This window comes from Homo sapiens, chromosome 14 (assembly GCF_000001405.40).
Source record: "Homo sapiens chromosome 14, GRCh38.p14 Primary Assembly".
In the NCBI taxonomy this organism is placed as follows: Eukaryota; Metazoa; Chordata; class Mammalia; order Primates; family Hominidae; genus Homo; species Homo sapiens.
In genome coordinates, this window is record NC_000014.9 from 53,772,566 (window position 1) to 53,800,170 (window position 27,605).

A 27,605-nucleotide genomic window follows, 5' to 3' on the forward strand; every position below is an offset into this window, starting at 1 on the left:
GTTTTGGAGCCAGTGGTTGCTAGGAAATATGACAGAATGAGGAAGTGAACTGTAAGTGATATTTGGGGTGTGTGCAAGATAGGGAGGGGTGGGCAAGATGATCTCATGTAACTAAATGTAACTAAATACATTTCTTGTCCATGGTTGATTTGGCACCATTTTAAATCTTTGTTTTGAAATTTCCAAAGCACATCTCTCTAACTTGGTTTTAGAATATGAAACCTAATATGCATTCTTTTAAAACTCAGTGTCCACACCGTGGATGGTGGTGATGAGGGAGAACAATTCAGCAAGAAAATAATAAAAATTTCCACTGGGTGGTTTATCCGGTCAAGGTTCTGTTCACTAAGTCTCAGTTTTCCTAATAGAAACAGGTGTGGTTTTATTCTGAAATAAAAATATCAAATAATCTTCTAAGAGCGACAAAGCTACGTACTGTGGCTTGGTAATTCTTACTGCCCGCATTCTTTCCCAAAACCTCTCCTCTGTTCCACTCCTGAATATTTCAGCAGAGCACTAAGCCCACAGCTGGGGGAATCAGAGCATAACAGCTGACTCCTCTGGGTGCTAAGAAAAATAACAACCACCACCACCACCACCACCATCTCAGGAATGGAAATGTGATGCTGGTTTTCGAGGCATTCTCTGTGTGAAATATGCCACAGACACTGACCTACATGTAGTTCTCCCACATGGTCTCATGAGCTGTCAGAAGCGTTCTTGCTAAGGAGAGGGATAAAGTTTGTATTTCTTTTGAATTCATTGGGTTACCCAAACTTACATTTGAGAAGAGTGAAACTGTAAAGAAGTATATATATTGATTTGTATAATATTTGTTTGGGAAATATTATTAACTATACTAGGAAAATCACAAAGAAGTATGTATAAGATCTGATTTTGTTAAGAGTATCCTTTTCTCCATGAAAAATATATTATATGTAATAAGCCACTAAAATGACAGCCACTATGCATCAGTTTTTATTGAGGTATCAATAGGACAGATTCAGAGTGAATGTAAGAGAGACCTCCATAATTTCTGACTTTAGAAATGAAATGGTCAAATATTAGCTTCATAATTCTAAGTCACTAGCCAAAGGGCCCCTTACTCACATCGAAAATATAAAGGGGTCAGATAGTGAAGAGAGTTTTCAAGTAGATAATTCTTTCTACAGTTGTTGCTGAGCTTCAAGTGTCCCTTACCCAAAAGGAGGGTAGTTAGGATATGCTACCTCCTTCACCTCCAGCCATGTGAGGATTGACTTCCATGAGATCACTTAGAGAGATGTAAATATATTCCTTATTTTTGGGGGAGCACAGAATAACTAACATGCCCTGAGAATGTTAAGATGCCCTGATGCATCGGGATGGAAATGGCTGCATTAGAGTTAGTCTGTACTCCCAGAATTTGTTGGGGAAAAGCGTGGACCAGAGGTGGGCCACATCTGGGAGCAAGCCAGGAAAGGGTTGTCTTGGGTCCTGTAAAATAAAAGCTTCTGAGCAACCTTGTCCAACCCATGGGCCACATGTGGCCCAGGAAGGCTTTGAATGAGGCCCAACACAAATTCGTAAACTTCCTTAAAGCACTATGAGATATTTTTGCAAATTTTTTAGCTCATCAGCTATCATTAGTGTAGTGTATTTTACGTGTGGTCCAAGACAATTCTTCTTCCAATGTGCCCCAGGGAAGCCAAAAGATTGGACACCCCTATTCTAGAGGTACAGAGGAACTGAGCACCAAGAAGCTGAAGGTAGACATTGGATTTCTAGAAGTGGTATAAGCAAACCTCCCCAGTAGAACTACATACAGTCCTTAATGATGGAAGTCTCCTAACAACTGCAAAAGGGGAGAAGGAGTCAGCCTTAACTACCATGACACACTAGAACATTTTCAAGATTGAAAATGGGTGCTATAATAATTATTATCGGACAGTAAATATAAAAAACCACTGCCCCCATGCAACCGGAAAAAATCGTCATCCTAATTTTAACTATCTGCTGCTTAGACAGCCTCATGCCAAACGACAACACAATCTTGCTATTTAAGATTTTGCCCTTTCCCCCTTGACTACATTAGGTAGGGATGAGGACTCTTATGAGAAAAAAATAAACTGCAAGTGAAAAATAGGACTGCAACCCTTATTCCCAAGAGTTATTCAATTTTCTGTTATTTAGTTTTAAAACGTAAGGGGATTTTTAATTTAGTGTTTTGTTATTAATTTCTAATTGCAGCATATTTAGAGAATGTGGTCTGCATGATGTGGATTAATTGAGGCTTTTTGGTGGTTTAGTACAAAGTATACTTTTGTAAATGCTGCATGTATGCTTGAAAACAAGTAGTAGTCTCTATTTGCTGGAGTTGAATTCCACATGCATCCAGTAGCTTACATTTACCCATTGTATTTTGGGGGGTCTTAAAAATTTCTGTTTGTTTTTCATATGTTTTAATTTATTATTTCCTGAGAAGTATGTATTAAGACCAGGTAAAATTTCTGATTGATTTCACTCTGTAGTTCTGTCAATTGTTGCTTGTATATTTTAAGACTACATTGTTAGGAGCATGTACATTAATGGTAGATATGTCACAAAGAATGTCTTAAAAGTAGCCAGGGAAAAGCAGAGTTTCTTCAAAGAAATAGTCAATAGACTGAGAGCTGACAATAATGGAAGCCGCAAAAGTAGAATATATTTAAAGTACTGAAAAAATAACTTAACATAGAATTTTATATGCAGTGAAATTATGTTTCAAAATGAGGATAAAAGAATTTTTAGACAATAAAACTAAGAGAACTTTGTTACCAACATCCCTGAACTAGAGAAAATTCTAAAGATATATCCCCAGCAGAATGAGAATACTCCTAGATGGAAGGCCTTAGATGTAAGAAGGAATAAATAGCAGAGTACTAAAAACATGTGTCAATTGAAACAAACACTGAGACGATAAAGAATAATAATAATATCATGTAGGGTTATGAAGAAGATAGCATTAAAATATATTAATTCAATAGCACTTATGTTGGGAGAGCCATCATCAGAGAAAAAGTATTACAAGATTCTTTTATTATTAAGAAGGATAATAAATATATTAACAAAATTGTATTTATAAGTTAAAAATGAAAGTTAAAAGCTTCAGGGTAACTCATAAAGGAATTAAAATATAACATCTCCATATTCATAAAGAAAAAGATATTCAATCACCCCAAAAAGCAAATGAGGTGAGAAAGAAATTAGAAGAGGAGGGGAAAATAGAGAGCAAAAAATAAGAAGCCAGAAGTTAAAGAGACATCAGAGTTTAGGAAGGAGGAAGTAATTTGAGAGGTAACAAAAATCAATGAATTTGGAAAAAAACAGCAAAAATCAATGAATCAAAGAAGTGATTCGTTTAAAAGGTAATAAAAGTCCCACCAGTAAGATTGACAAAGAAAAAAGAGAAGATACATATTGCAAATGTCAGAAGTAAAACAATGGTTATCACTTTAGACCCAAATTAGACAACTTAGATGAAATAGACTAATTCCTAGACAAGTATGAAACGTCACAATTTGCCAATAGGAAATAGATAATTTTAATAGACCAATAGCTATTAAGAAAATTGAATTCATAATTTTAAAACTCCCAGAAATCTCTAAGTCCAGATGACTTCCATGGATAATTCTACCAAAAGTTTAAATGAAAATTAACACTAATTCTACCACAATCTCTTCCAGAAAACAGAGGAGGCTGACTCTTCTGAACTCCTTCAGTGATCCCTGCATTACCTTGATATCAAAACGAAAGATGCTACACACACACACACACACACACGATCTACAGGTAAACATCCCTCATGAATATGGATGCCAAAATTCTTAATAAAGTATTAGCAAATAGAACTGAGAAACATATGGAAATAATTATATATGACCAATGGGGCTTATCCAGAAATGTAAGCTGGTTCACTACTTGAAAATTAATCAATGTAATCTACTATATTAATTGGCTAAAGAAGAAAAATCATTTGATAATATCAATCTACACACAAAAAAAAATTTAGCAAAATCTAACACCCACTCATGATTTTAAACATTTCAGAAAAATAGCAATAGAGAGAGATTCCTCAACTTGATAAGGAGCACCTACAAAAAAACCTACAGCCTATGTTGTACTTACTGGTGCAAGACTGAATGCTTTCTCCTCGAGATTGAGAACAAAAGAAGGATCATTTCATCATTTTTATTCAGCACAGTGATGAAAGTTCTATCCAGTGCAGTCAGGCAACAAAAGGAAATAAAAGGTACACAGAAATCAAAGGAAGAAATAAGAGTGTCTCTACTTAAAGAAGACATGATTGTCTACATAGAAAATTGAAAGGAATCTTTAAAAAATATATATTCCTGGGAGTAATAACTGAGTTCAGTAAGGATGCAAGATATAAAATAAATAAACAAAAATTGGTTGTGTTTCTGTATATTAGCAATGAAAACATAGCTAATAAAATTAAAAATATAATACCATTTACAGTAACTCAAAATAAAGAGACCCTTAGGAGTAAATCCGACAAAACAGGTTTTGAACTTACATGTTGAAAACTGTAAAATGTTGATGGAAGAAATAAAAAGACTAACATAATTGAAGAAATAGTCCATGTTCATGAATTGGAAAACTCAGTACAGTAAAGATATCAATTCTCCCCAAATTCAAATATGGATTAAACATAATTTCTATGAAAATTTCAGCAAAAAAGTGTAGGTATAAACAGGACTATTATAAAAATTTATATTAAAAGGCAAAGAAACCAAACAACTAAAACAATTTTGAAAAAGGAGAATAAAGCGGGAAGAATCACTACCTTATTTCAAGACTTATATAGCTACAGTAATCTTACATAGCTGTAGTAGTCAACACTGTGGTATTGGAAGAGAGACAGACATGTAGGTCAATGGAATAAAATAACCCAGAAAGAGACTTATAAAGTATGGCCAACTGATTTTTGATGAAATTGCAAAAGCAATTCACTGGATAATCTTTTCAACAAACGGTGCTGGAGCAGTTGGATATCCATAGGCAAAAATAAATAAATAAATATTAACCTAAATCTCATATATTACTTGGAAATTATTAATAACTTGAAATGGATCATAAATTAAATATAAAACATTTTTAAATAAAACTTTTCAAAGATAATATAGGAGAAAATCTTCTGGACCTAGGGCTTGATGAAGAGTTCTTAGACATAACACCAAAAGCATGATCCATTAAAGAAAAAATTGGTAAACTGGACTTCATCAGAATTAAAATATTTTGGTAAGACTCTGTTAAGAGGAAGGAAGACAAGCTATGGACTGGGAGAAAATATTAGTAAACAACCTATCTGACAAAAGACTAGAATCTAAAGTATATAAAGAACTCCCCAATTCAATATAAAACATCCAATTAGAAAATGGACATAAGACATAAAAAGTCATTTAACTAAAGAGTATAGATGAATGACAAATGCACACATGAAAAGATGTTCATCACTGTTCATGGAAGTGCAAATTAAGACCACAATGGGATAGCCCTATTCATCTCTTAGAACAGCTAAAATAAAAAATAATGCCAATTCTAAATGCTGATGGGTATGCAGAGAAAATGGATCTCTCATACATTTCTGGTGGAAAATAGTTTGAAAGTTTCTGTTTAAAATAAATATATAGTTATCATACAGCCCAGAAATTGTACTCCTGGGCATTTACTTAGAAAAATAAAAGCTTATATCTGCCCAAAAATCTATATATGACTGGTAATAGCATATTTATTTGTAATAGTAAAAATTTTCCTCAATAGGTGAATGGTTAAACAAACTGTAGTATATTCATACCACAGAACACTACTCAGAATGAAAAGGAACAGACTATTGATACATGCAATGACTTAGCTAGATCTTGAGGTTGTGCTGAGTAAAATAAGCCCTCAACAGGTTACATACAGTATTATTGTATTTACATAACACTCTCAAAATGACAGAATTTTAGTGATGGCAAAAAGTTATTGATGGCCAGGGCTAGGGATGGTAGAGGAAAGAAAGAAAAGTGAGTGTGATGAGAATTTTGTCATGGTGGAATAGTTCTGTATCTTAATTGTGGTGCTTACACAAATCTATACATGTAATAAAATATCATGGAACAACACATAAACTATCAATACTAAATGGTTTTGATATTGTACTATATGTTCGATGAGACCATTGGCAGAAACTGGCTGATGAGTACTTGGGACTTCTCTGTACTCTCTTTGCAATTTCTTGTGACTCTATAATTATTTCAAAATAAAAATGTTCCAAAATTCATGAGGATGATAAACTCCAAAGTACAACATTGATCTCAGATCTAATGAACAGTATAGAAAATATGAAGAAAAGAAGACAGTGTTAGTCAAAAATGTTAACCAAATCATGCGTTTTTCCTCTGGTCAAACTTAAAAAAGAGAGAATGCTTTAAGAACATAATTCGTTTTTTTTTTTTAACGTCATGGGTGCTACATTTTAAAGTAAAAGTACTTTTAGTTAAATACTAACCAATTTTAACAGTTGAAAGTAACTGAATATGGAGATTTGCCCAACTTATGTATTCTAAGAAACAAAGTTATTTCTAGAAAACAAGTTATTGGGGGAAAAGTTTTTTCTGTATTCTATTTCTTTTGTGCACAAAAAGGTTAGTAATATTATTGAACATGACACTTCTGTATATTTTCGTACATCAGCTTTAGGACGTGCAGACAGAACCAGAGATCTTTTTCAAGTTTGACAGACCCAGGGACTGATAACAAATTCATCTCTGCTTCTGCTTTACGTGACTGCCAAGAGATTTCTGGGTGTCACACAGCTCACTTAGTGAATCTGATTGAAGAAATATTTATAGAATGAAACAATCAGTTGAGAAAAGGATCATGTAATTATCACTGACAATGAAACAAACATGGTGAAAGCCATGAGTGATTTATGAAGGAATCCCAAGTGTATGATGTTGTGTTCTCACCCTTTATTTGTGTCCTCAAAAAAGTAATTATAGTACAGTATAATGTGACAGAATTACAAGTGGTCAGCAGAAGGAGAATGGGCAAATTTGATCGATTCTCTTCAGCCAAAGACTAACTCTGTGATATCAAGAGAGTTTAAAACTGTCTTGCCATTATTTTCACAAGCTATTCAAACAAAATGAAATAGCCAATACTTAGTTTTAAAAGCCCCTTGAGCAAAAGAAAGCCTTAATCATTTACTTTGCAGATAACAACGACTTTTAACTGATGTTTGCGTGTGGAGATTTTTATTTGCTGCAACCTGCTGAAGGAGAAAGCAAATTTAAACTCCTTGAGGCAGCAATTATTTCTTACAGTACATCCCCATAATTTTATTACAGGGAAGATGATGGAATAAGTATGCATGAGATGTAAATGGAAACTCAGCTGTTATTTCATCACCTTGAAAGCCATTCACAGTCGCCCACTGCCATCTCTAGACTCATGGCTTAAATACAAGTTTCTGAAGTGATTTTTGTGAAACAGCAATAGCATGCTGTTTCATTTTCTATTGCTGCATAACAAACCATCCCAAAATTTAGCAATGTAAAACAATCATTATATGATGCTGATAGATGCTGTCAGTCAGAAATTTGGGCAGGGCCCAGAAGTAATGGTTTGTCTATGCTCTACAAAGCCTGGGGACAGAGTTGGAAAGGCTCAAAGAATGAGGGTAACAACAACAGCTTGGGGCTGGAATCACTCTGGGGCGTCTTCATTCACATGTCTGGCAGCTAATGCCTGCTGTCATATGGTACCTCACCAGGGCTGCTAGCTATAAAAGTAGACACAATCTGTCTGCGGGTTTTTCTCCACGTGGGCTAGTTTGTGCATCGCCACAGCGTGGTCGCTAGATTCCAAGCACATGAGTTCTGAAAGAACAAGATGACAGTATTCAACATTTGGAATTTATACAGCTTCACTTCCACCATATTTTATTGGTCGGAGGAGTCAAAAAACCCCACCCAGTTCCAAATTCCAAGGAGAGAAATTACAGGTTTTACTCCTTGATGGAAGAAGAGGAAGCTTCAAGAAAAAATGTGTGGCATAAAAAATATTATTCTAGTGTATTAGCTTGTTCTCACATTGCTATAAAGTACTCGAGACTAGGTAATTTATAAAGAAAAAAGAAGTTTTAATTGATTCACAGTTCCGGAGGCTGTACAGGAACATGGCTGGGGAGGCCTCAGGAAAGTCACAATCATGGTGGAAGTCAAAGAGGAAGGAATCATGTCTTACATGGCCAGAGAAGGAGGAAGAGAGCAAAGGGGGAGGTACTACACACTTTTAAACAACCAGATCTCATGAGAAGTCACTTACTGTAAGGAGAAGAGCAAGGGGGAAATTCACCCCCTTGATCCAATCACCTCCCTCCGTGCCCCTTCTCCAACACTGGGGATTACAATTCTACTTGAGATTTGGGCAGGAACACAAATCCAACACATATTATGTGGCTATCTTTAGAAAATGCACTCTGCCACACGTTAAAATAATAAAAACAAAGAAAACAAGTGACAACAATAATTTCAGTTCTGCTTCTGAAAATATTTGGTATATTTTTTGAGAAGTATACAAAACTTCATATTATAGGGTTGTTGCAATGAAATTACATCATCATTGACCAGTTTCATGAGGGGGATTATAAAAATAAGTACAAGTAAAATTAAATAGAAATATAGAATTTAAATTATAATTCAAGGCCTCCATAGAAGAGGTTATAGACATAATTATCTTAAAGTTGAAAGGGACTCTTAACCTTAAAAAATCCGTCATTTCATTTCATAGAATTCCTTTAACAATCTCCAATGACAAAAAATTTACTACCTCCTAGAACAGTCCATCCCATCAAGAGCAATACTGGGTAGCTGTCACATGCCAGTGTAGGGGTAATAATAAGAGGCTTGTAGAAAAGATTTAATGTAGATTTATCTTTCAGAATGAATAGAATTTAGATAATTGAAAAGGAGAGAAAGATCATTAGCAGGGGAATTCTAAAGTGGACATACAAATTTAAGAAGTAAAAGAGCTATTTGGGTACAAGGAGAAGTTAATTGTTTAATTGTAATAGAAACATTTTGAGAAAAACCTGGAAGATAAGGCAACAAGTTGAGATCTAACTGGGGAAGACTTAATGCACTTTGTATTCTGTCCGATAAATAAGTTTCTGTAGTTTTTGAGCATCAGAGTAATAAAATTAAGATAATTTTAGGAAGACTAATCTGAGAGTAGGGATTAAAGTGAAACGAAGTGGAGGCAGGAAGACCTCCTACGTTTATCCAGGTATGCAGTGTAAAAAACCACACAGAGCCAGACATGACACTGATACAGCAAGTCACCATTTTCCACATTTCATCCTACTGCAGACTGCATACAAATTTATAATCTCCCAGCCATCCTCTTCTTTCAAGCATATTACTATTCTTAGATATTAAAACTCAGCAGTAAAGTGTTGGTAAAGTTTGGCCTGAACACAATATTTTAACTTAGGAAGTACTGTGACATCCTTTCAAATCAAATTTCCTCTTGGTCTTGAGTCAAGAAATATGGAAATTAACCCAGAAATTCCACTTCTAGGTATATATGCCAGGGAAACTCTCACATATGAACACAAGATGTGGATAAGAATGTTGGCGTGGCTGGGCGCTGTGGCTTACGCCTGTAATCCCAGCACTTTGGGAGGCTGAGGCAGGTGGATCACCTGAGGTTGGGAGTTCAAGACCAGCCTGACCAACATGAAGAAATCCCTGTCTCTACTAAAAATACAAAATTAGCCGAGCGTGGTGGCACATGCCTGTAATCCCAGCTACTTGGGAGGCTGAGTAAGAGAATTGCTTGAGCCAGGAGGCAGAGGTTGCAGTGAGCTGAGATCACACCATTGCACTCCAGCCTGAGCAACATGAGCAAAACTCTGTCTCAAAAAAAAAAGAGAATGCTTGTGACGGCCAGGTGTGGTGGCTCACACCTGTAATCCCAGCACTTTGGGAGGCCAAGGCAGGTGGATCACCTGATGTCAAGAGTTCTCCTGGTCAACATGGTGAAACTCCATCTCTACTAAATATACAAAAAAAATTAGCTGGGTGTGGTGGTGTGGGCCTGTAGTCCCAGCTACTTGGGGAGGTTGAGGTAGGAGAATCTCTTGAACCTAGGAGGCAGAGGTTGCAGTTAGCTAAGATTGCACCACTGCACTCCAGCCTGGGCTACAGAGGGACACTCTATCTCAAGAAAAGAAAAAAGAAGAAAAGAATGTTTGTGGCAACAACTTTGTAATTTTGAAAAAGTGGAAACAGCATAAATGCCCATCAACAGGAGAATGGATAAACTGTGGTATATGTATACAATTGAATACTATACAGTTATAGAAGGAACAAACAGGATCTACATAATTCAACATAGGTGAACCTCATAAACAAAACACTGATTAAAAATTGTATTGCAAGTGGACAAAGCAGTATGATAATATTTGTAGCAAATTTTCAAACATACAATGAAATACTATATAGCACTTAAGGATGAATATATGTACTAAAAATATAAAGAAATGCACAGGAACACCAAATACCAAATGTATGACAGAGATTACTCAGGAAGCAAGGATAGACATGTGGAAGTAATGACTGTGATTGGGGAAAGAAACACAGTGGAATTCAACTGCTCTGTGATCCTACTTTATTTCTGAAACTGAGTATTAAATATATTGTTTTGTTTTAGAATTCTTTATACATTTTATAAGTCTGAAATATTGCATGTGGATTTTTTTAAAGAGATGTGTAAATCACACCCTGCCAATTTCCCAAACCATATTCAAGCAGGGCAACTCTTCATCCCTTTGCAAGCCATATGGCAAAACTGGAGGGATTACAAAATCTCTGCAGAGATGGAGCTTGCAATGGCTCCATGGTGATAATGTCATTTAGAACCAAAGGTCTGGAGCTGAGGAATCAATCAGGATGAGGGCAGGCAAAAAAGAACAGGACATTTTTCCCACCCTTGGCAATATGAACTGAGGCCAAGTAGGGGAGCAGTAGTGTTGTTGCTCCACCAAACAACTGTGACTGTCCTCAGCTGTCCAGTGAACAGCAGGCTTGTCCTGTCTCATTTGCAGCATGTCTTGGGTGCTCAAATACAGACTGGGAGGATTGAGTTCAGTTCTTGGTATTTAAAAGGACTCCTAAAAGCAATAATAGACAAAGACTTTCATCCTCACTCCCACCAACTCCTCCCAATCAGAATTAGAAAAAAAAAAAAACACAGATCTGACTCCCTGCTTAAACCCTCTTTTATATTCCCATTAGTTTACAATCGAGGCCAAATTCCATAGACTAGCATTCATGCTATATAAGGAGGCCCTACTACTATGACCTTTACTACTTCTCCCTTCCCGCACCCCAGACACACTAGACTATTGACAATGCCATGCACCATTTGAAAACAGGAATCGTAAGTCTTTTGGCTTCTTTTTCCAGATTGCTTTAGCCATTCTGCATTTCCATATGAATTTTAGAATCAGCTTGTTAATATGCAAACAAGGCAGTGATATTTTGATAGAAATTACATTTGCTCTGTAGGTCAACTTGGAGAGTATTGACATCTTAAAAATATTGTCTTCCAATCCACCAACATGGGATGTCTCCATTTATTTAGCTCTTCTTTTATTTTTTCAATGATATTTTATTGTTTTCTGTGTATCAGTTGAGGTTCTTTTGTTAAACATATTTACTTAATATTTTATTTTTGACACTACTGTAAATGAAATATTTATTAATTTTATTATATTATTTCTAGTGTATAGAAATACAACTGATTGTGTATATTAATCTTGTATCCTAAAATCTTGCTGAATTAATTAGTTCTATTATTTGTGTGTGTGTGTGCATGTTCCTTAGGATTTTTTACATACAAGATCATGTCATCTGCCAATAGTTTTACTTCTTTCCAGTCTAGATGCCAATTATTTCTAATGATATTTAAATAATAAAAAACAATATTTATATGTACTCATAATAGTGACCAATTCTTATGCTCTTCCATAGTTTTGTAGATCCATATTTTGATCCATCATTTCCTTCTGCCTGAAGGACTTCCTTTAACATTTTTTTTTGTAGTGCAGATCTTGCTGATGATCAATTCTTTCAGTTTTTGTACGTCTTAGTCTATTTAGTCTATTTCACCTTCATTTTTGAAATATCTTTTCACTCGCTATAGAATTCTAGGTTAGTAGCTTTCTTCTTTCAGTATCATAAAGACATTGCCCAATTACTTCTTGATTGCATTGTTTCCAAAGGAAATCTGCTGTCATCCTTATCTATGTTTCTCTGTATGTAAGGTGTTTTTCCCCCCTCTGGCTATGTTTAACATTTTCTTGTTATCACTAGTATTGAGCAATTAATTTATAATATGCCTTGATAAAGTTTTCTTTATGTTGTTGTGTTTGGGATTGTTTGAGCTCCTTAGATCGGAGGGGTTTTAGTGTTTTAGTTTTCATCAAATTTGGGAAAGTTTTGGTCATTTTTTCTTCAAATGTTTTTAGTCCACTTTTCTTAAAATAAGGTACAGTTATTTGATCTGAATCACCTAACAGACAGAAGATTGGCAAAAGACTCTACTTATCTAGAACCTACTCCAGATGCTACACCTAAATGAGCCATGTGATTGTGTAAGTCATATAACTTCTTTAAACTTCAGGGGTTTTTTCACTTCTAAAATGATGTGTCTAGCTAACATTAATGAGCCTTACACCTCTTACATTAAAACCACCATGGGTTATGTTTTGAAACTCCTGAAACAGCAACATAGCAGTGGGGATAGGAATAAAGTCACTTTTTTGAAAAAGTGATGAAAGTTTGGAATAATCCCCGTGGAGAAAGGGAGAGCGAGCTGACCAGGGATATGTAAAAGATACACTTGAGTTGCTTAGGAACCAGCTGAGAATAAGATTCATGGGTATCCACTTTATGAAGATGTAGCTTTTCTCCAATTGCTCTCAGAAAATACTTAACTTATATGTTATGTCTACTATGTTCCAGTGGCTGGAGAGCCAATATTAGTTGAGAGAATGAACAAATGAAGAAAAGATCATCAGATGAGAATGAAGGCTTGTACTAATTACCTCTAAAGTTTCTTTCAACCACAGAGTCTGCATTCTTGTGGAGCAAAAGAACAGATGTGCAAGGGTTATGAGAACAGAGAATAACGAGAAATTGATTTTACATCAGAAGAATCAAGGCGGCTTGATGAAGACAGGAGCTGAGGCTTGATGTGTGCATGCCATTTGATGGATTAGTCTTACTGTGTATATCACAATCAACAATCAAAAAATAATCCCAGAAGCTTGGTACTCAACTCCAGAAACCTGAAGACTTATGTGAAGGTATTATCTTTACTGTAGGTTTTCTTAAATTGCTGGAGCTGAAGGTTTCACATAATTCTTCAAGCATAACTTTCTGGAACTCCTGTTTAGACACATAAATTTCTCTTCTAAATCTTCCATTCACAGTAACTACAAAAAAAAACTCTCCATCTTGCCTCAGTACACTCCTCTCTCCATGCCATCATTCTCTAGCCCTGCCTTCTCACACAGTTCCAGACAGCAATGGCTAGCACAGCTTCCACTCCCACCCTCCAGATGAGCAGACCCTGCCTGGTCCTCCCTTTCCCCATGCAAGGGAATTGCACAGAGCTCTCTAGGAAGTGTGAGTCATTTCTCACTCTGATCATTTTTCTCTGAAATATTCTTGTGAATAATTCTGCTGAAAAAAACTCCTCTCCTTTGCAATGTAGTAAAAATACTTGAAGGGTCAAATAAATGCAGTAGCTTAAAAATTAAATTAAATATATAGATTGTTAAAAGTATACCTAATCAGCCAGGTGTGGTGGCTCATGCCTATAATCCCAGCACTTTGGGAGGCCAAGGTGGGCAGATCATGAGGTCAGGAGTTTGAGAGCAGCCTGGCCAACATAGTGAAACCCCCATCTCTACTAAAAATACAAAAAATCAGCTGGGCCTGGTGGTGAGCACCTGTAATCCCAACTACTTGGCAGGCTGAGGCAGGAGAATCGCTTGAACCTGTGAGGCAGAGGTTTCAGTGAGCTGAGATCACGCCATTGCACTCCAGCCCGGGCGACAGTGCGAGACTGTCTCAAAAAAAAAAAAAAAAAAAAAAAAAAAAAGAAGTATACATAATCTATTGATGATTTGATAAAGGGGATGGGTTGGATAGAGACTACTGTAATTTTCCCCCTTGCCACTGGCTATGAGTCCTGTTTCCACTAAATTAGGTCAGCAGATAGATTGCCTACTATTCTAAATATGATGTCCGTGTTTTATACCACATCATCATAGGCATTAAGTATCACCCTTTTTCTTTCTCCTTAAACATTTGTGTGTATAGCAGACTTCTCTGAACATTTGAAAATAAGAAAGGAGATACATCACAGATAATTTAACATTTAATATGCAGCTTCAGTGTTCTTAAAAGTCCCTTGGCTATTTCTAACAACTCAACACAGATCTCTTTAGAAGGCAGGAGGAGTACCCCAAAGTGAAAAGTGATTGGAAGAGGAAAGATTTTAAAGAGTCATGGATATATAGTCATTAGACTGGAAAACCCTAATGGCTATGAGTCTTTTAAGAAAGAAGCAAGATGCAAGAAAACAAGAAGCAAGATGAAAATTGACCTTACACTGAAGATCTTCAACCAAATTAACTGCTTGTCCTGTTTTATCTTATAACATTCAAAATGTTCAGAGAAAAATATAATGGGGACTTGCGGATAATTCTTTGAACTGTAATGTGATATTGTGAAATACATGTTTGGTCTTTGACCCCATTTCCTTCTATATGACTCCTAAATTTCTTAGAATCTCCAAAGTGATGTCTGTTTGCTTGCTAACAATTGACTGATGGGTGGCAACCCCTAGGTAGCTTCAAGATTGTAACTTCTAGGGCTGGTCACCACAAATACCAAGGCAGGATTCGAAGGTTGGGACTTTCAGCCCCACCCTTCCCAACATCCAAGCAGCAGAGAGGGGCTGAAGGTTAAGTTGATCACCAATGTCTAATGATTTAATCAATCATGCCTACATAATGAAGCTTCCATAAAAACCTAAAATGACTGGGTTCAAGAGCTTCCAGATAGCCAAACACATGGAGGTTCCTGGAGGGTGGCATGCCCAGGGAAGCCTGGGAAGCTCCATTCTTCTTCCCCCATACCTTGCACTATAGATCTCTTCATCTGTATTCTTTGTGGTATCCTTTATAATAAACCAGTAAATCTAAGTAAGTTTCCCTGGGTTCTGTGAGCAGCTTTAGTAAATTAATCAAACCCAGAGCAGGGGCCATAGGAGCTGCAGCTTGGAGCTCGTCAGTTAGAAGTTCCAGAGTTCTAGACTTGGGACTGGTGTCTCAGGAGGCAGTCTTGGAGACTGAGTCCTCAACCTGTGGTATCTGACACCATCTCTAGGTAGACAGTGTTGGAACTGAATTACAGGACACCCCCCTGGTGACTGCTGCAGAACTGATTGTTTGCTTGATGTGTGGGAATAACACCCCACACACATTTGGTCATGAAAGTGTTCTGTGATGACTGGAGTTGTGTTGAGGGAGAGAAGAGGAAAAAGCACTCTGAGTGAGTGTGATTCTCCACTCACAATTCCGTATGTCTAAATCCATTGTTTTCAGTAGAATTTCAGTGTGAAATTTGTCATCAGCTTTCACACTGCTTTAGGAAACATAATGCAAAAGCAGAGAAATAGAAAGTACCTCAAAAATGTGCACTAAATTTCAAAGTCACTTAGATTTTAATACATTTCTGTCTAGTTTTTACTAGAAGAGATATATCAGTCTAGTTTTCACTAGTTTTATTTTCCTTCCAATCTCTCTGAATAAGTATTTCCACATACATAGACTTATATCTGATATTGTTATGTTGTATTATAAGTGTATAGATCAATTGCTATTTCAAATAATCCTCATAAGACCCATGGAGCTAAAGAAGAAAGGAGAGTGGTGGTTCCTATGTTGCGATTAGGGAAACTAAAGCAGAGAGGGGTTAAATGCCGTCCTTACCACAAGGTCACAGAGAGAATGTGTGCCATGGTGGGAGAAGGAAGGGGCCGTTCCTTCATCGCATACTGTTTTATATGTTAACCATCATGCGCATACTAAGTCAATGGATGCTGGCACTTTACATAAATATATGATGATGCAGTGCTATATGCAATAAAATCTGAGGCAAGAAATGTGGAAGCAATTCAAGAAAACAGATCTCACATTTTTGCCTTTGTCAGAGTCAGAATCTGACATGCTCTGATTAAAATTCAACATCTGCAGGCATTTAAAATTAAAATATACAGGTATTCATGTTTTCCTCCTTCCACAATGTTTTATTGCTGCTTTTTTCATCTTTAATATTAAAAACATTACATTATTTTATTTCATATGTCAAATTCCTTGTCTCTGTATATTACATGTTGCCCTTTTACCCCTGAGCTCTGGTTCAAATCCAGCTCTTAGCTGAGGAAATAAAAAACATCTGAAAATATTTAGTAGACTCATCTCAAGGACTAACGGACTACGGTTTACATTAACTTGACAAACACAACAAACAAACAGATTTTCCACAAATTAAAAATGTTTACATGAAAACATTCAGGAACGAAGAGTATGTAAGGACCTCTCAGACAGATCTGAGGCTGTGCTTTTATTTCACAGAGAATTTGCAACAAAATTGAGAAAATCTGGGCTTCACCTGTCCCACCCAAAGCAGGTGAAAAGTGAGGGACCTGGATTGTAGAAATCCTCCTCTGCCATTTTGTGGTGTGGAAGACTGAAGTTTGGAAGGGCTCAGTGGACGGGAAGATAAGAGAAAGCAGCCATAAAATAAATCGTCAGCTGTATCACATTACTTTTTTGTTCATGAGAAAATTATTTATTGAGGCATGCACTGCATTAAAACACTTTGCCAGGTACTATTTCATTGGCGCCTTCCAGTAAGTCAGAAAAGTAAAAGTCAACCTGGTTTAAAGACAAATCAAAGAAAAAGCCTGTTCAATGCTCTTGAACTTTTGTAAACATGTTCATATCCATCCATGATTTAAAAACAAGGAGACAATAGGCCATTTAATGTTAAATCTGCCACCTTCCCCAGGAGTTGGTAATCAAGTGCCTTCAATGGCAAGGGGATGAATGAGTAGGCAGTGATGAGTTGTGGAAGACAGAAGAGGATATGCCCAGTATAAAGGCATTTTGATTTTTAAAAATTGTAAATGCTGTGTAATTCAAAGAAAATATATGTGCAGGTCACCAGTGTAGAATCCCTGCCCTACAGCTGCTCTCGAAGTCCATTTGACCCCAACATCACCCTTTCAAAGGGTCCAGTCTCTGTCTCTTCCCCTACCCCGTCTCCTCCCTCTCCTGTAGCCTCTTCTTCAGGAAGCATCTGGTCTAAACAATTGCAACTACAAATAAAAGAGGTAACCCAAATCTCAAGTAGAAATGCAGGGTACACCAAAGTCCCTTGGGGAATCTTAAAATGCATATTCCCAGGCCTCACTCCCAGAGAGTCTAATACTGAATATTTAGCACAGGGCCTGAGAATATGCATTTTAAAGGCTTGTTTGATGATGCTGATGCAGGTAGCTCAAGGACCACACTCTGGGGGAAACTTTATGCTGTGCTGTGGAACTGACTATCTGTTCTCAATAGATGTATCAAGGTGATGGGGAGAGACCAACACAGTGCAAACACTCGTCCCCCATCATTGCTGCCTTTCCTCTGCCTTTAGGGCCTGCAATCTAACAAGGTTTCATCAAGGACCAGAATTCTAATTGACAGAGGATCTGGTATGGCTGGAGAGAAAACAGCATTTCAGGTGAGGCAGAGCAGTAACAAATGGTAACAAGCTACATTCCAGCTTAAGTTTCTCTGAGCTGACAACTCACACCCTCCATCAAATCCACTCTTACCAGCACATTCTAGAGTTAAATGACTCCACTGGCAGAAAGTCCTGCCTCCCAGCTCACCTGCATAGTGCATACTTGAAATTTGGAGCCGTTTTTTGTTGTTTTTAATTCTGCACTCAACAGCAACAGGGACATCAAACACCATCCTCAGATAGTTGAGAACCATTTATGCAGTGTTAAGTAACACACTCAGAAAGGCCATGGTAAGGGAAATGCTAAGTTCAAGTATGCTCTGAATCAAGATTTTGCATGAATTCTTCCATGGTTTGAATTCCTATTTATAATAACAGTTTGGAAGGTCTTCCATAGGTCCTTTCAGCTTTCAGTAGTACAACTTGGAAATAGTTTATTCTCTCATAACTCATATGGGAAGTGTCTGCCAAGCCTCAAACAGTCTTTTTTTTTCCCTGACAAATACTTCAAGACAGGGCTGCACTCAAGCATTCAAATTTGGTAGCATTAACTCTAGTAACATAACTCTGACAGTCCACTTAAGGAGGGGAGAAAAATCATAAAACCCTTCTGCTTCACTTAATTTAATGTTTGACAAGTCCCTTAAAGAATAACTGGGATATTCTCACCAAATGCTTTAAGTCCTGTTTTTACCACATCTGTCCCTGGAGTTTGTTCATGGACATCTTATGATATAATAAATCCTTCTTTCCTGACACCCAGCCCCCAAACAAGGAATGTGTTAGACAGACGGTATTAATCACTGGGTGGCAATCTGATTTCGAGGCAGATATCGTGTGACAGGAGAATGGCATGCTTCATTTTGCATTGTCCTCACCACAAGATGCCTTTTAGTCAAAGCTGGTCAGGTGAGAACAAATATTTTTCTCTATTTAAGAATTTAATGGGATCAGCCCAAATTCAGTTCATGAACTCAACTTAGTCACATGTGATTGTGGCTAGACATCAAATCCAGCAACAGAGGCTGGATTTCTGTAGTGGAGAATAAAATGGGGATAATTGTGGTGTTTTTTTCCCTGTGGTCTTCTATGTATCCTGGTAGGCATTCCAAAATTGGAAAATTGGTATTTTTCTGATGTTGGACATTGCTATTTGAGTCAGTCACATTATGCAGATGCATTTCAGACTTTCTGTAGAGAGTTTTGTTGTTAGAAAAACTATCCTACTAAGTAGGATCAAAGGCACTTTCTCTTGCAGAGTAGTTTTCAAGGAGAAGATAAAAGCAATTTTTATTGGTAAAAGCTAACTCACATTTAGTTAACCAACAAGCCAACCGGAAATCATTTATTGAGCCTCTCTTATTGCCATTATACTGTAACTCTATAACAGTATAACAATACAATAGGACCAGTCCTTACTTTCCAGAACTACAAAATCTGGGTAAACAGACAAGACTTACTTAGGGTGAGGGAACAATTATAACTCCCATATTCAGCCCTGTGTATGCTTGGTCCATGATAGATATTTAATCATTTCTTACATATACAATAATTGACTGCTAAACTTTAAGGTACAAATAATAAATTCTGGTCATCAGACAAGAGATAATGTGAGGTTTTCTCAAGCTTCTTTGACCATGGAACCCAGCTTTCAGGAAGCTCTTCAGGTAATCATGTTCCATAGAACTTGCTTTGGGAACTTTGGCTCAAATGCACATGGGAGAGGTGGAATTCCTACTATATGAATTCCAGGAAGAGGAGCAAAGAATTAAATGGATGGAAATGAGGGGAGAATCGAGGCAGAGAGAATAACAAAAACATAAGGTGAGGACAAAATTAACCTGAAGCATGGGGAGGTAAAAAATTTTTACCTTTTATAATTGAAATCATTAGAGAATTAAGTGGCTTTTACAATATTCTATATTTCTAAATAGCATCTGTTTTAGCTGAAATAGTGAAAGCCTGAGGGAGGCAAACTTGTGACAGTACAATAAACAATTGGTTTTGTATTCTTATGGAAAACTAGCAATCAGTGAAACCATGTTTAGGGTGCAGAGCACAGACCACCATGCCCAATAGTCTCATAGTTCTCTATGTAAGCTTCTGTAGAAAACAGGGATAGGGGATGGGTGGGGGGACCTGAGGAGGAACATGGGGAAGAAGGGGAAAGTCTTATTTTTTGTACCTTTTTCTAAAGTAGGAGATGCCAATATGACATTTGTGACTCTAGATGTTTTTGTTTCTTCACTGATTTTTCTATATTTTATAATGGCCTTCTAAGGGCATTATCATTTCTTACCATCTCTTTTACTTTCTTTCTTTCTTTTTTTTTTTCCTGGCTGTTTCTTCTTCCAAATGAATCTTCAGGAAAATTCAGGTTTGCTACAGGATTTAGACAACTTTTTCTGTTCTGTCTTGAATGTGCAATTAATCAGTTGTGTGTTGAGCGAATCTCCTAAATTTCTTTATTTCAGCTTCCTCTTTTGCAATAAAGGAGGTGAACTGGAAGATGGTCTCTAAAATCTTATCCTCCCTACTAAAAGAGCCATTTTTGATATTGAGACAACCCCTGTCAAACAAAGAAAATCCACACTCCACCTAAGCCCTGTCCCAGTGATCACTGCCACCTGGGGGCAGCCCTTTTGCTGTGTTTATGGCCTTTCCACAAAGTTCCATCACTACACTCAATCAGCCTATATTCTTATGGTGTTTCTGCAGGTCTGTCTTTTCTACTACAATGTGAAGTGCTTGATTCAGGGGCCATATGTTTTTCATATTTTCTTACCTAGTCTTACTCCAGGAGGCAACACTCCAATGCAATATGGCCTAGTGGTTAAGAACCTGGTGATTTCAGTCTTGGCTCAGCCACTTACATGTTGTATGGCCTTTGGAAAATTGCTTATGCTCCCTTTGCCTCTGTTTCTTCACCTGTAAAGGGAGGATAAAAATAATAGCTTTTACTTTGTGATCCCATTTAACAAACACAGAGCACAAGGCACGGTGATTAAAAAAAAATAGCTTATTTTCAGTAACCAACACATACCAAATGACAAAATCTTTGAATAAAGGAATAAGTCTACCAAAAGGAAGTATGGGAATGGATTGGTGGATTGGTTTTATATTTATAAAACCAATGTTATTATATATATTTACACACATACACATATATATGTTTTCCCTGCAAATTTTATATATAATATGTTAATGTGTATATATTATTTGTATATATTAATATATTTGTATGTCTATTGTTTATATATTAATATATGTGTGTGTATATATAAATATATATAATTCGTAGGGAAAACAAAGTTGAATAAGACATAAATTTCATGCCACTATGAAAATTACAGTCTAGAAGGGAAATTAAGACACACACACGAATAAATAAAATGCTAGATAAAATCAGTACTCCATAAGAAAAAGCAAAGTGTAGCAATAGTTCAGAGGAGAGGAGAAGATAAATGATTTCTAACAGAGGGATCAGTAAAGGCTCTGTGGCTGAGCTGATATATCTTTCAACATAATAGAACTGTGTTTACACAGCATCTGTTTCATCAACTCCCTTAGAATTCTCCCTCATGATTTAAAAAAAAAAAAATCCTCCTTTACAATACATAGAAATGGAGACTTAGAGGGTTAAATTTGTTACTTGTTTAGGGCTAATAACTTAAATTCCAATATGTTTTGAACAACAAGGACAGGGGATGGGTATTCCCAAAGGGTGGTTTACTATTTTGTGCAACCAGAAAATTTTTGCTGCCAAGCACCAAAGGCATATTCATGAGCGTAACACCAGGAGAGCAGCCAAGGCCCCACTTGAGCTGCTTTTATTGTTTGTCTAAAGTGGATGTTTATCCAAGCAAACTGCATTGTGTTCCAAAAGGAGATTCATCATACTTGTCTTTGTGGTTACAGAGCAGGAATCAAACTGATGGGGTGATGGGTGCCTGGGCCAAAAGCAGAGATGCTCCAGATCAGAGACCCCTCCCTTTGCCTGGTCCTTTTCAAGAACAAGAAAATCTTTGGAATGAAAATGCAGTGACTGACCTTAAAGGAACCCATACCCAGGGTTTTACTTTCAGGGAGTTTTGGACACTTGGGAAACCCAGCTCAGCCACTGGGAGCTTTCATGCAAACCACATAGAGTGCAGAACCAGTTTACGTTTGTCTAACATGTAAAGTCTTCTCAAATTCTCCAGAATTAAATCACATTTGGGAAGTTTGGGTGATTCTGGAGTACACAGCCCAGATTTCCAAACCCAGCACATACATGCAAATGGAAACATGGCCAAAGCATTCCTAACTGCATCAAGGTTATTGTTAAGTAGTTTCTGAAAGTTAAATCCATACATTTCTCAAATTTGAGCCAAAATACATTCCTGTCCTTAAAAGTTCATGAGGTTATTTGAGGTGTGACTTTTCAACTAGCCCTATATTTGAAATGATGATCTTGCCTTTCAGTGCCTCAAATAACACATTAGGTTGGTTTCAAATGACCAAATCTGAGTCAAGTGCAGATTTTTTTTTCTTACAGTATTTTATTATGCTGCCCAGGCTGGACTCAACCTCCCAGGTTCAAGATATCCTCCTGCCTCAGGCTTCAGAGTATCTGGGTCTACAGGCATGCATCACTATGCCCAGCTTAAAGTGCAAAGTTTTAAGACGTTAGCCTAGTGCCAGCCCCTAAGAATATATCCAGGGTCTTCAGTGTGAATGAGCACCCTTCTTTCCTCACGGGGCCCTCATGCCATCTCACCCCAAGTTCCCTCAGGGAAATTAATTTCAAGTACCATCTTCCCAGGCTGCCCCTACAACCATTTTGACAGATGACTGTCCCATCCCTTTCCTCTTCTTCCCTGCAGTTCTGGAAAAGGATGATGTCTTTATCTCCAGAAATATTGACCTCTTTAAGTACCTGAATTGAGAAGGTCTTTCCTTCTCCCTAAAGGGAGATTTGCCGTAGTCCTATATTCTCTCCCTGGCAGCAACTTTTCCAGTTCTTTCTCCTTGTATCTAGAACATATACTCATGTCTGTCTATTTTTTAAGCAGTTATAACTTTGTTATACTCCTCATTTTCATGATCTATCATTTATTGATAATATGTGCTAAGCTCTTTATGTACTATTTTACTTAATTGTCACATGATACTATGTTAAATATTACTGTCTTTGCAGACTAACCTTCAAAGCTCACCTCCTCGGATGAGTAGTCAAATTCTACTGTCTGGTTACTTTGTGCATTCCTCTTTGTTTACTATGATCTGTTTCTGTTCTGTTCCTATCGTTCTTCTAAAACCATTCCCACAAATGCCTTCAGATAAAGTTGATACATACACACAAACACACACTGTTTTATCCCTGAAGATCCTGGGAGTATTTTGCATTCCAATAACCTGTTTCTCCTTGATTGCTGCCTCGGAAATCCTGCAAGCCAAAGCCCTTCCTCCTGTACTGACTCTCTTAGGTTGTTTAGTTGCTCTAAGCATTTAGTTATCATCGAAGATGTTTGAACTGACACTCAGGCCTAAAGCACTATCTCAAGCTTCTCTTCAATTTGCTAAGACACTATTTTCCAACATTCAGACACAAATATCTTTAATATTTCTATATTGATATCCATTTAGGAAAACATGTAAACTATCTATTGAATTCAAGGTTCCATTGCTGCTTAGGAAATATTTAGGATTTTTAAAAAGTGAGCTAACAAAAATTAAGTAAACAAGAGCAAAGTTAGTATGCAGACCTGGGGCAAAAATTGTAAGGGTGATATTCAAATTATAAAAACTGTTATACCGTCTTGTTCTATTGTCAAGAAGGAAGTGGACCCCCAAATTCCTAATTATATTTCCCTTTCTCTCAGTCTTTAAATCTTTCTATTTTACCTATTGCATTCAACCTATTATATCCTCTAACTTCTCAGTATTCTAAACTTGCAACCTTGAAATTCCTCTATTTTCTTCATTTTCTATATGCAGTCTGTCTCCAAGTTTTGCCAAACATTCTGTAATCATATTTTTCTATATGTCTCTCAATTTGTAAACCCATGGGCAATATTCCAGTAAAAAAAAAAAAAGATGGTAGAACAACTTTCTAACTTATCTTCCAGTAAAAGTTCTTCAAGAGCCATCTTAAATTACATGCTCAGTAAAAGACTCAGCAAAAATTTGTAGCCACATAGCAACTATTGCTCCGTCCTCCATTTTCTTTGCCATGGAAGCTGGGAGAATGCCATTTACAGAAACGCTTGATAGCGAGGGAGAGACATTTACAGGGGTAGGCTGTCTCAAACTTCCAGTAGTCATATCAGGACAAGTCACACTGCCTTTCTTTCCCAAAGGCTTGCCTTCAGCTTGTTGCCTACTCCTGCCCCATCATCATGCCTGTATCCATAATAACTTCCTTGAGTGGCCTTTCACAGCCAGCTCCTCCTCCACTATCCACTATGGTGTTTAGCCTGCTACTTCCCCTTGTCAGTTCTGCCACACCCAACCCTCTACTAACCTGTGTAATCACAACCTGTGGAGCTCCCAAGTTACTGAGGTCCACTCTTCTAAAGTTGTTCCCTCCGTCTCATGCTGATTTCTCAAGCTGATATCATTTCTTTTACAGTTCTCAGATGAGGCTGCTGCTACCTGAGTCTCCTCCAATGCTCTCCACCTCCTTGTCTAGAGCTTCAAACCGTAATTTGTTTCCCTAACCACTCAGCAAACTCTCCTACTGAAGTCTACCATATTCTGTTATACCATCCTCTTTACTAATTTCAGATTTCTACTATTCTCCTCACATGCTTTCATGCTCCTAAGAGGTTCCAGCACCTGTTGGAATGTTTTTCTTCACCTTATACAAGGCCACTGGCCTTGTTAACTTTAATATCCAGCACCATGTACTTTTCTCACCCTTCTTAATTTCATCTCTCTGTCACTTGACATAGCTGACTCTAACCCAGTCCTTGAATCCAAGTCCTCCTTTGTTTTTGTGACACTCATCATTCCGATCCTTCATTTTTCATGCTGACCACTTCTTTTTGCTCTCCTTTTCTAGTTCTTTCTGCTCTGTTCCCTAAATTCATGTGTACTCCAGGATTCTGTCTTCGTTTCCTTTTTTTTTTGTCTTTACACTTTAGAAATAACTATTCTAATAAATCTAACCATTAATTCTACACTAACTCTGTAGTTCTGACACTTTATCAAGGCTTGGTGGCCAGTTCCACCTACATGTGTTTTTGGCATCTCAATATGTCATCCATTCCTCTTATTTCTGTTACTGGCAAAAACATTTTTCCAGTCATCCAAGTTAAAAACCTGACAATCATTACTGCATGCCCCTTTTCAATCCCGGGCCAAATCTATCAGTCCCTGCTAATTTTTTGTTCCTGTTTTACCCTTTCAACTGGTCTCATTCTTTTTATTTGTGTCCTTAAAATGTGAATACCAAGTAACTGGCAAGATGGCCAAATAGGAACAGCTCCAGTCTGCAGCTCCCAGTGAGATCAGCGCAGAAGGCAGGTGATTTCTGCATTTCCAACTTAGGTACGCAGCTCAGCTCATTGGGACTGGTTAGAAAGTGGGTGCAGCCCACAGAAGGTGAACTGAAGCAGGGTGGGGCATCACCTCACCTGAGGAAGTGTAAGAGGTCAGGGAACTCCCTCCCTTAGCCAAGGAAGCCTTGAGGGACTGTACCATGAGGAATGGTGCACTCTGGCTCAGATACTACACTTTTCCCACAGTCTTTGCAGTCCACGAACCAGGAGATTCCCTCAGGTGCCTACGCCACCAGGGCCCTGGGTTTCAATCACAAAACTGGGCGGCCATTTGGGCAGACATTGGGGTAGCTACAGGAGTTATTTTTTTGTTTCATATTCCAGTGGCACCTGGAATGCCAGCAAGACAGAACCATTCACTCCCCTGGAAAGGGGGCTGAAGTCAAGGAGCCAAGTGGTCTAGCTCAGCAAATCCCACCCCCATGGAGCCCAGCAAGCTAAGATTTACTGGCTTGAAATTCTTGCTGCCAGCATAGCAGTCTGAAGTCAACCTGGGATGCTTGAGCTTGGTGCGAGGAGGGGTATCCGCCATTACTGAGGCTTGAGTAGGCAGTTTTCCCCTCACAGTGTAAACAAAGCCACAGGGATGTTTCAACTGGGCAGAGCCCACCGCAGCTTGGCAAAGCTGCTGTAGCCAGACTGCCTCTCTAGATATCTCTTCTCTGGGCAGGGCATCTCTGAAAGTAAGGCAGAAGCCCCACTCAGGGGCTTATAAATAAAACTCCCATCTCCCTGGGACAGAGCACCTGGGGGAAGGTGTGGCTGTGGGTGCAGCTTCAGCAGACTTAAACATTCCCACTTGCTCTGCTAAGGGACAGACTGCCTCCTCAAGTGGGTCCCTGATCCTTGTGCCTCCTTACTGGGAGACATCTCCCAGCAGAGGTCTACAGACACCTCATAAGGCAGACCTCTGGCTGGCATCTGGTGGGTGCCCCTCTGAGACAAAGCTTCCAGAGACAGGAACAGACAGCAATCTTTCCTGTTCTGCAGCCTCCGCTGGTAATACCCAGGCAAATGGGGTCTGGAGTGGACCTCCAGGAAACTCCAACAGACCTGCAACAGAAGGGCCTGACTGTTAGAAGGAAAACTAACAAACAGAAAGGAAAAGCATAAACATCAACAAAAAGGACAGCCACACAAAAACCCCATCCAAAGGTCACTAACATCAAAGACGAAAGGTAGATAAATCCACAAAGATGAGGAAAAACCCGTGCACAAAGTCTGAAAATTCCAAAAACCAGAATGCCTCTTCTCCTCCAAAGGATCACAACTCCTTGACAGCAAGGGAACAAAACTGGACGGAGAATGAGTTTGACAAGTTGACAGAAGTAGGTTTCAGAAGGGGGGTAATAAATTCCTCCGAGCTAAAGGAGCATGTTCTAATCCAATGCAAGGAAGCTAAGAACCTTGAAAAAAAGTTAGAGAAATTGCTAACTAGAATAACCAGTGTAGAGAAGGATGTAAGTGACCTGACGGAGTTCAAAAACACAGCACGAGAACTTTATGAAGCATACACAAGTATCAATAGCTGAATCCATCAAGCAGAAGAAAGGATATCAGAGATTGAAGATCAACTTAATGAAATAAAGAATGAAGACAAGATTAGAGAAAAAAGAATGAGAAGGAATGAACAAAACCTCCAAGAAATATGTGACCATGTGAAAAAATAAAACCTACATTTGATTGGTGTACCTGAAAGTGACCGGGAGAATGGAACCAAGCTGGAAAACACTCTTCAGGATATTATCCAGGAGAACTTCCCCAACCTAGAAAGACAGGCCAACATTCAAATTCAGGAAATACAGAGAATACCACAAAGATACTCCTTGAGAAGAGCAACCCCAAGACACATAATCATCAGATTCACCAAGGCTGAAATGAAGGAAAAAATGTTAAGGGCAGCCAGAGAGAAAGATTGGGCTACCCACAAAGGGAAGCCCATCAGACTAACAGCCCATCTCTCTGCGGGAACCCTACAAGCCAGAAGAGAGTGGGGGCCTATAGTCAACATTTTAAGGAAAAGAATTTTCAACCTAGAATTTCATATCCAGCCAAACTAAGCTTCATAAGTGAAGGAGAAATACAATCCTTTACAGACAAGCAAATGCTGAGAGATTTCATCACCACCAGACCTGCCTTACAAGAGCTCCTGAAGGAA

General features: G+C 37.9%; 1 long non-coding RNA gene across 10 annotated transcripts in view; it reads right to left on the reverse strand.

Annotated features, from left to right (window-relative positions):
• Positions 1-27,605, reverse strand: part of LINC02331 (long intergenic non-protein coding RNA 2331) — a 165,830-nt gene that overhangs the window by 87,569 nt on the left and 50,656 nt on the right. For 6 of the 10 annotated variants that reach the window (NR_184218.1, NR_184214.1, NR_184219.1 and 3 more), the window contains exon 3: positions 20,689-20,831. This is a non-coding gene — a long non-coding RNA (long intergenic non-protein coding RNA 2331). Of the gene's footprint in view, positions 1-20,688; positions 20,832-27,139; positions 27,214-27,605 lie in introns of all 10 variants that reach the window. The other 4 variants (NR_184212.1, NR_184213.1, NR_184216.1 and 1 more) reach the window with 2 other exon arrangements.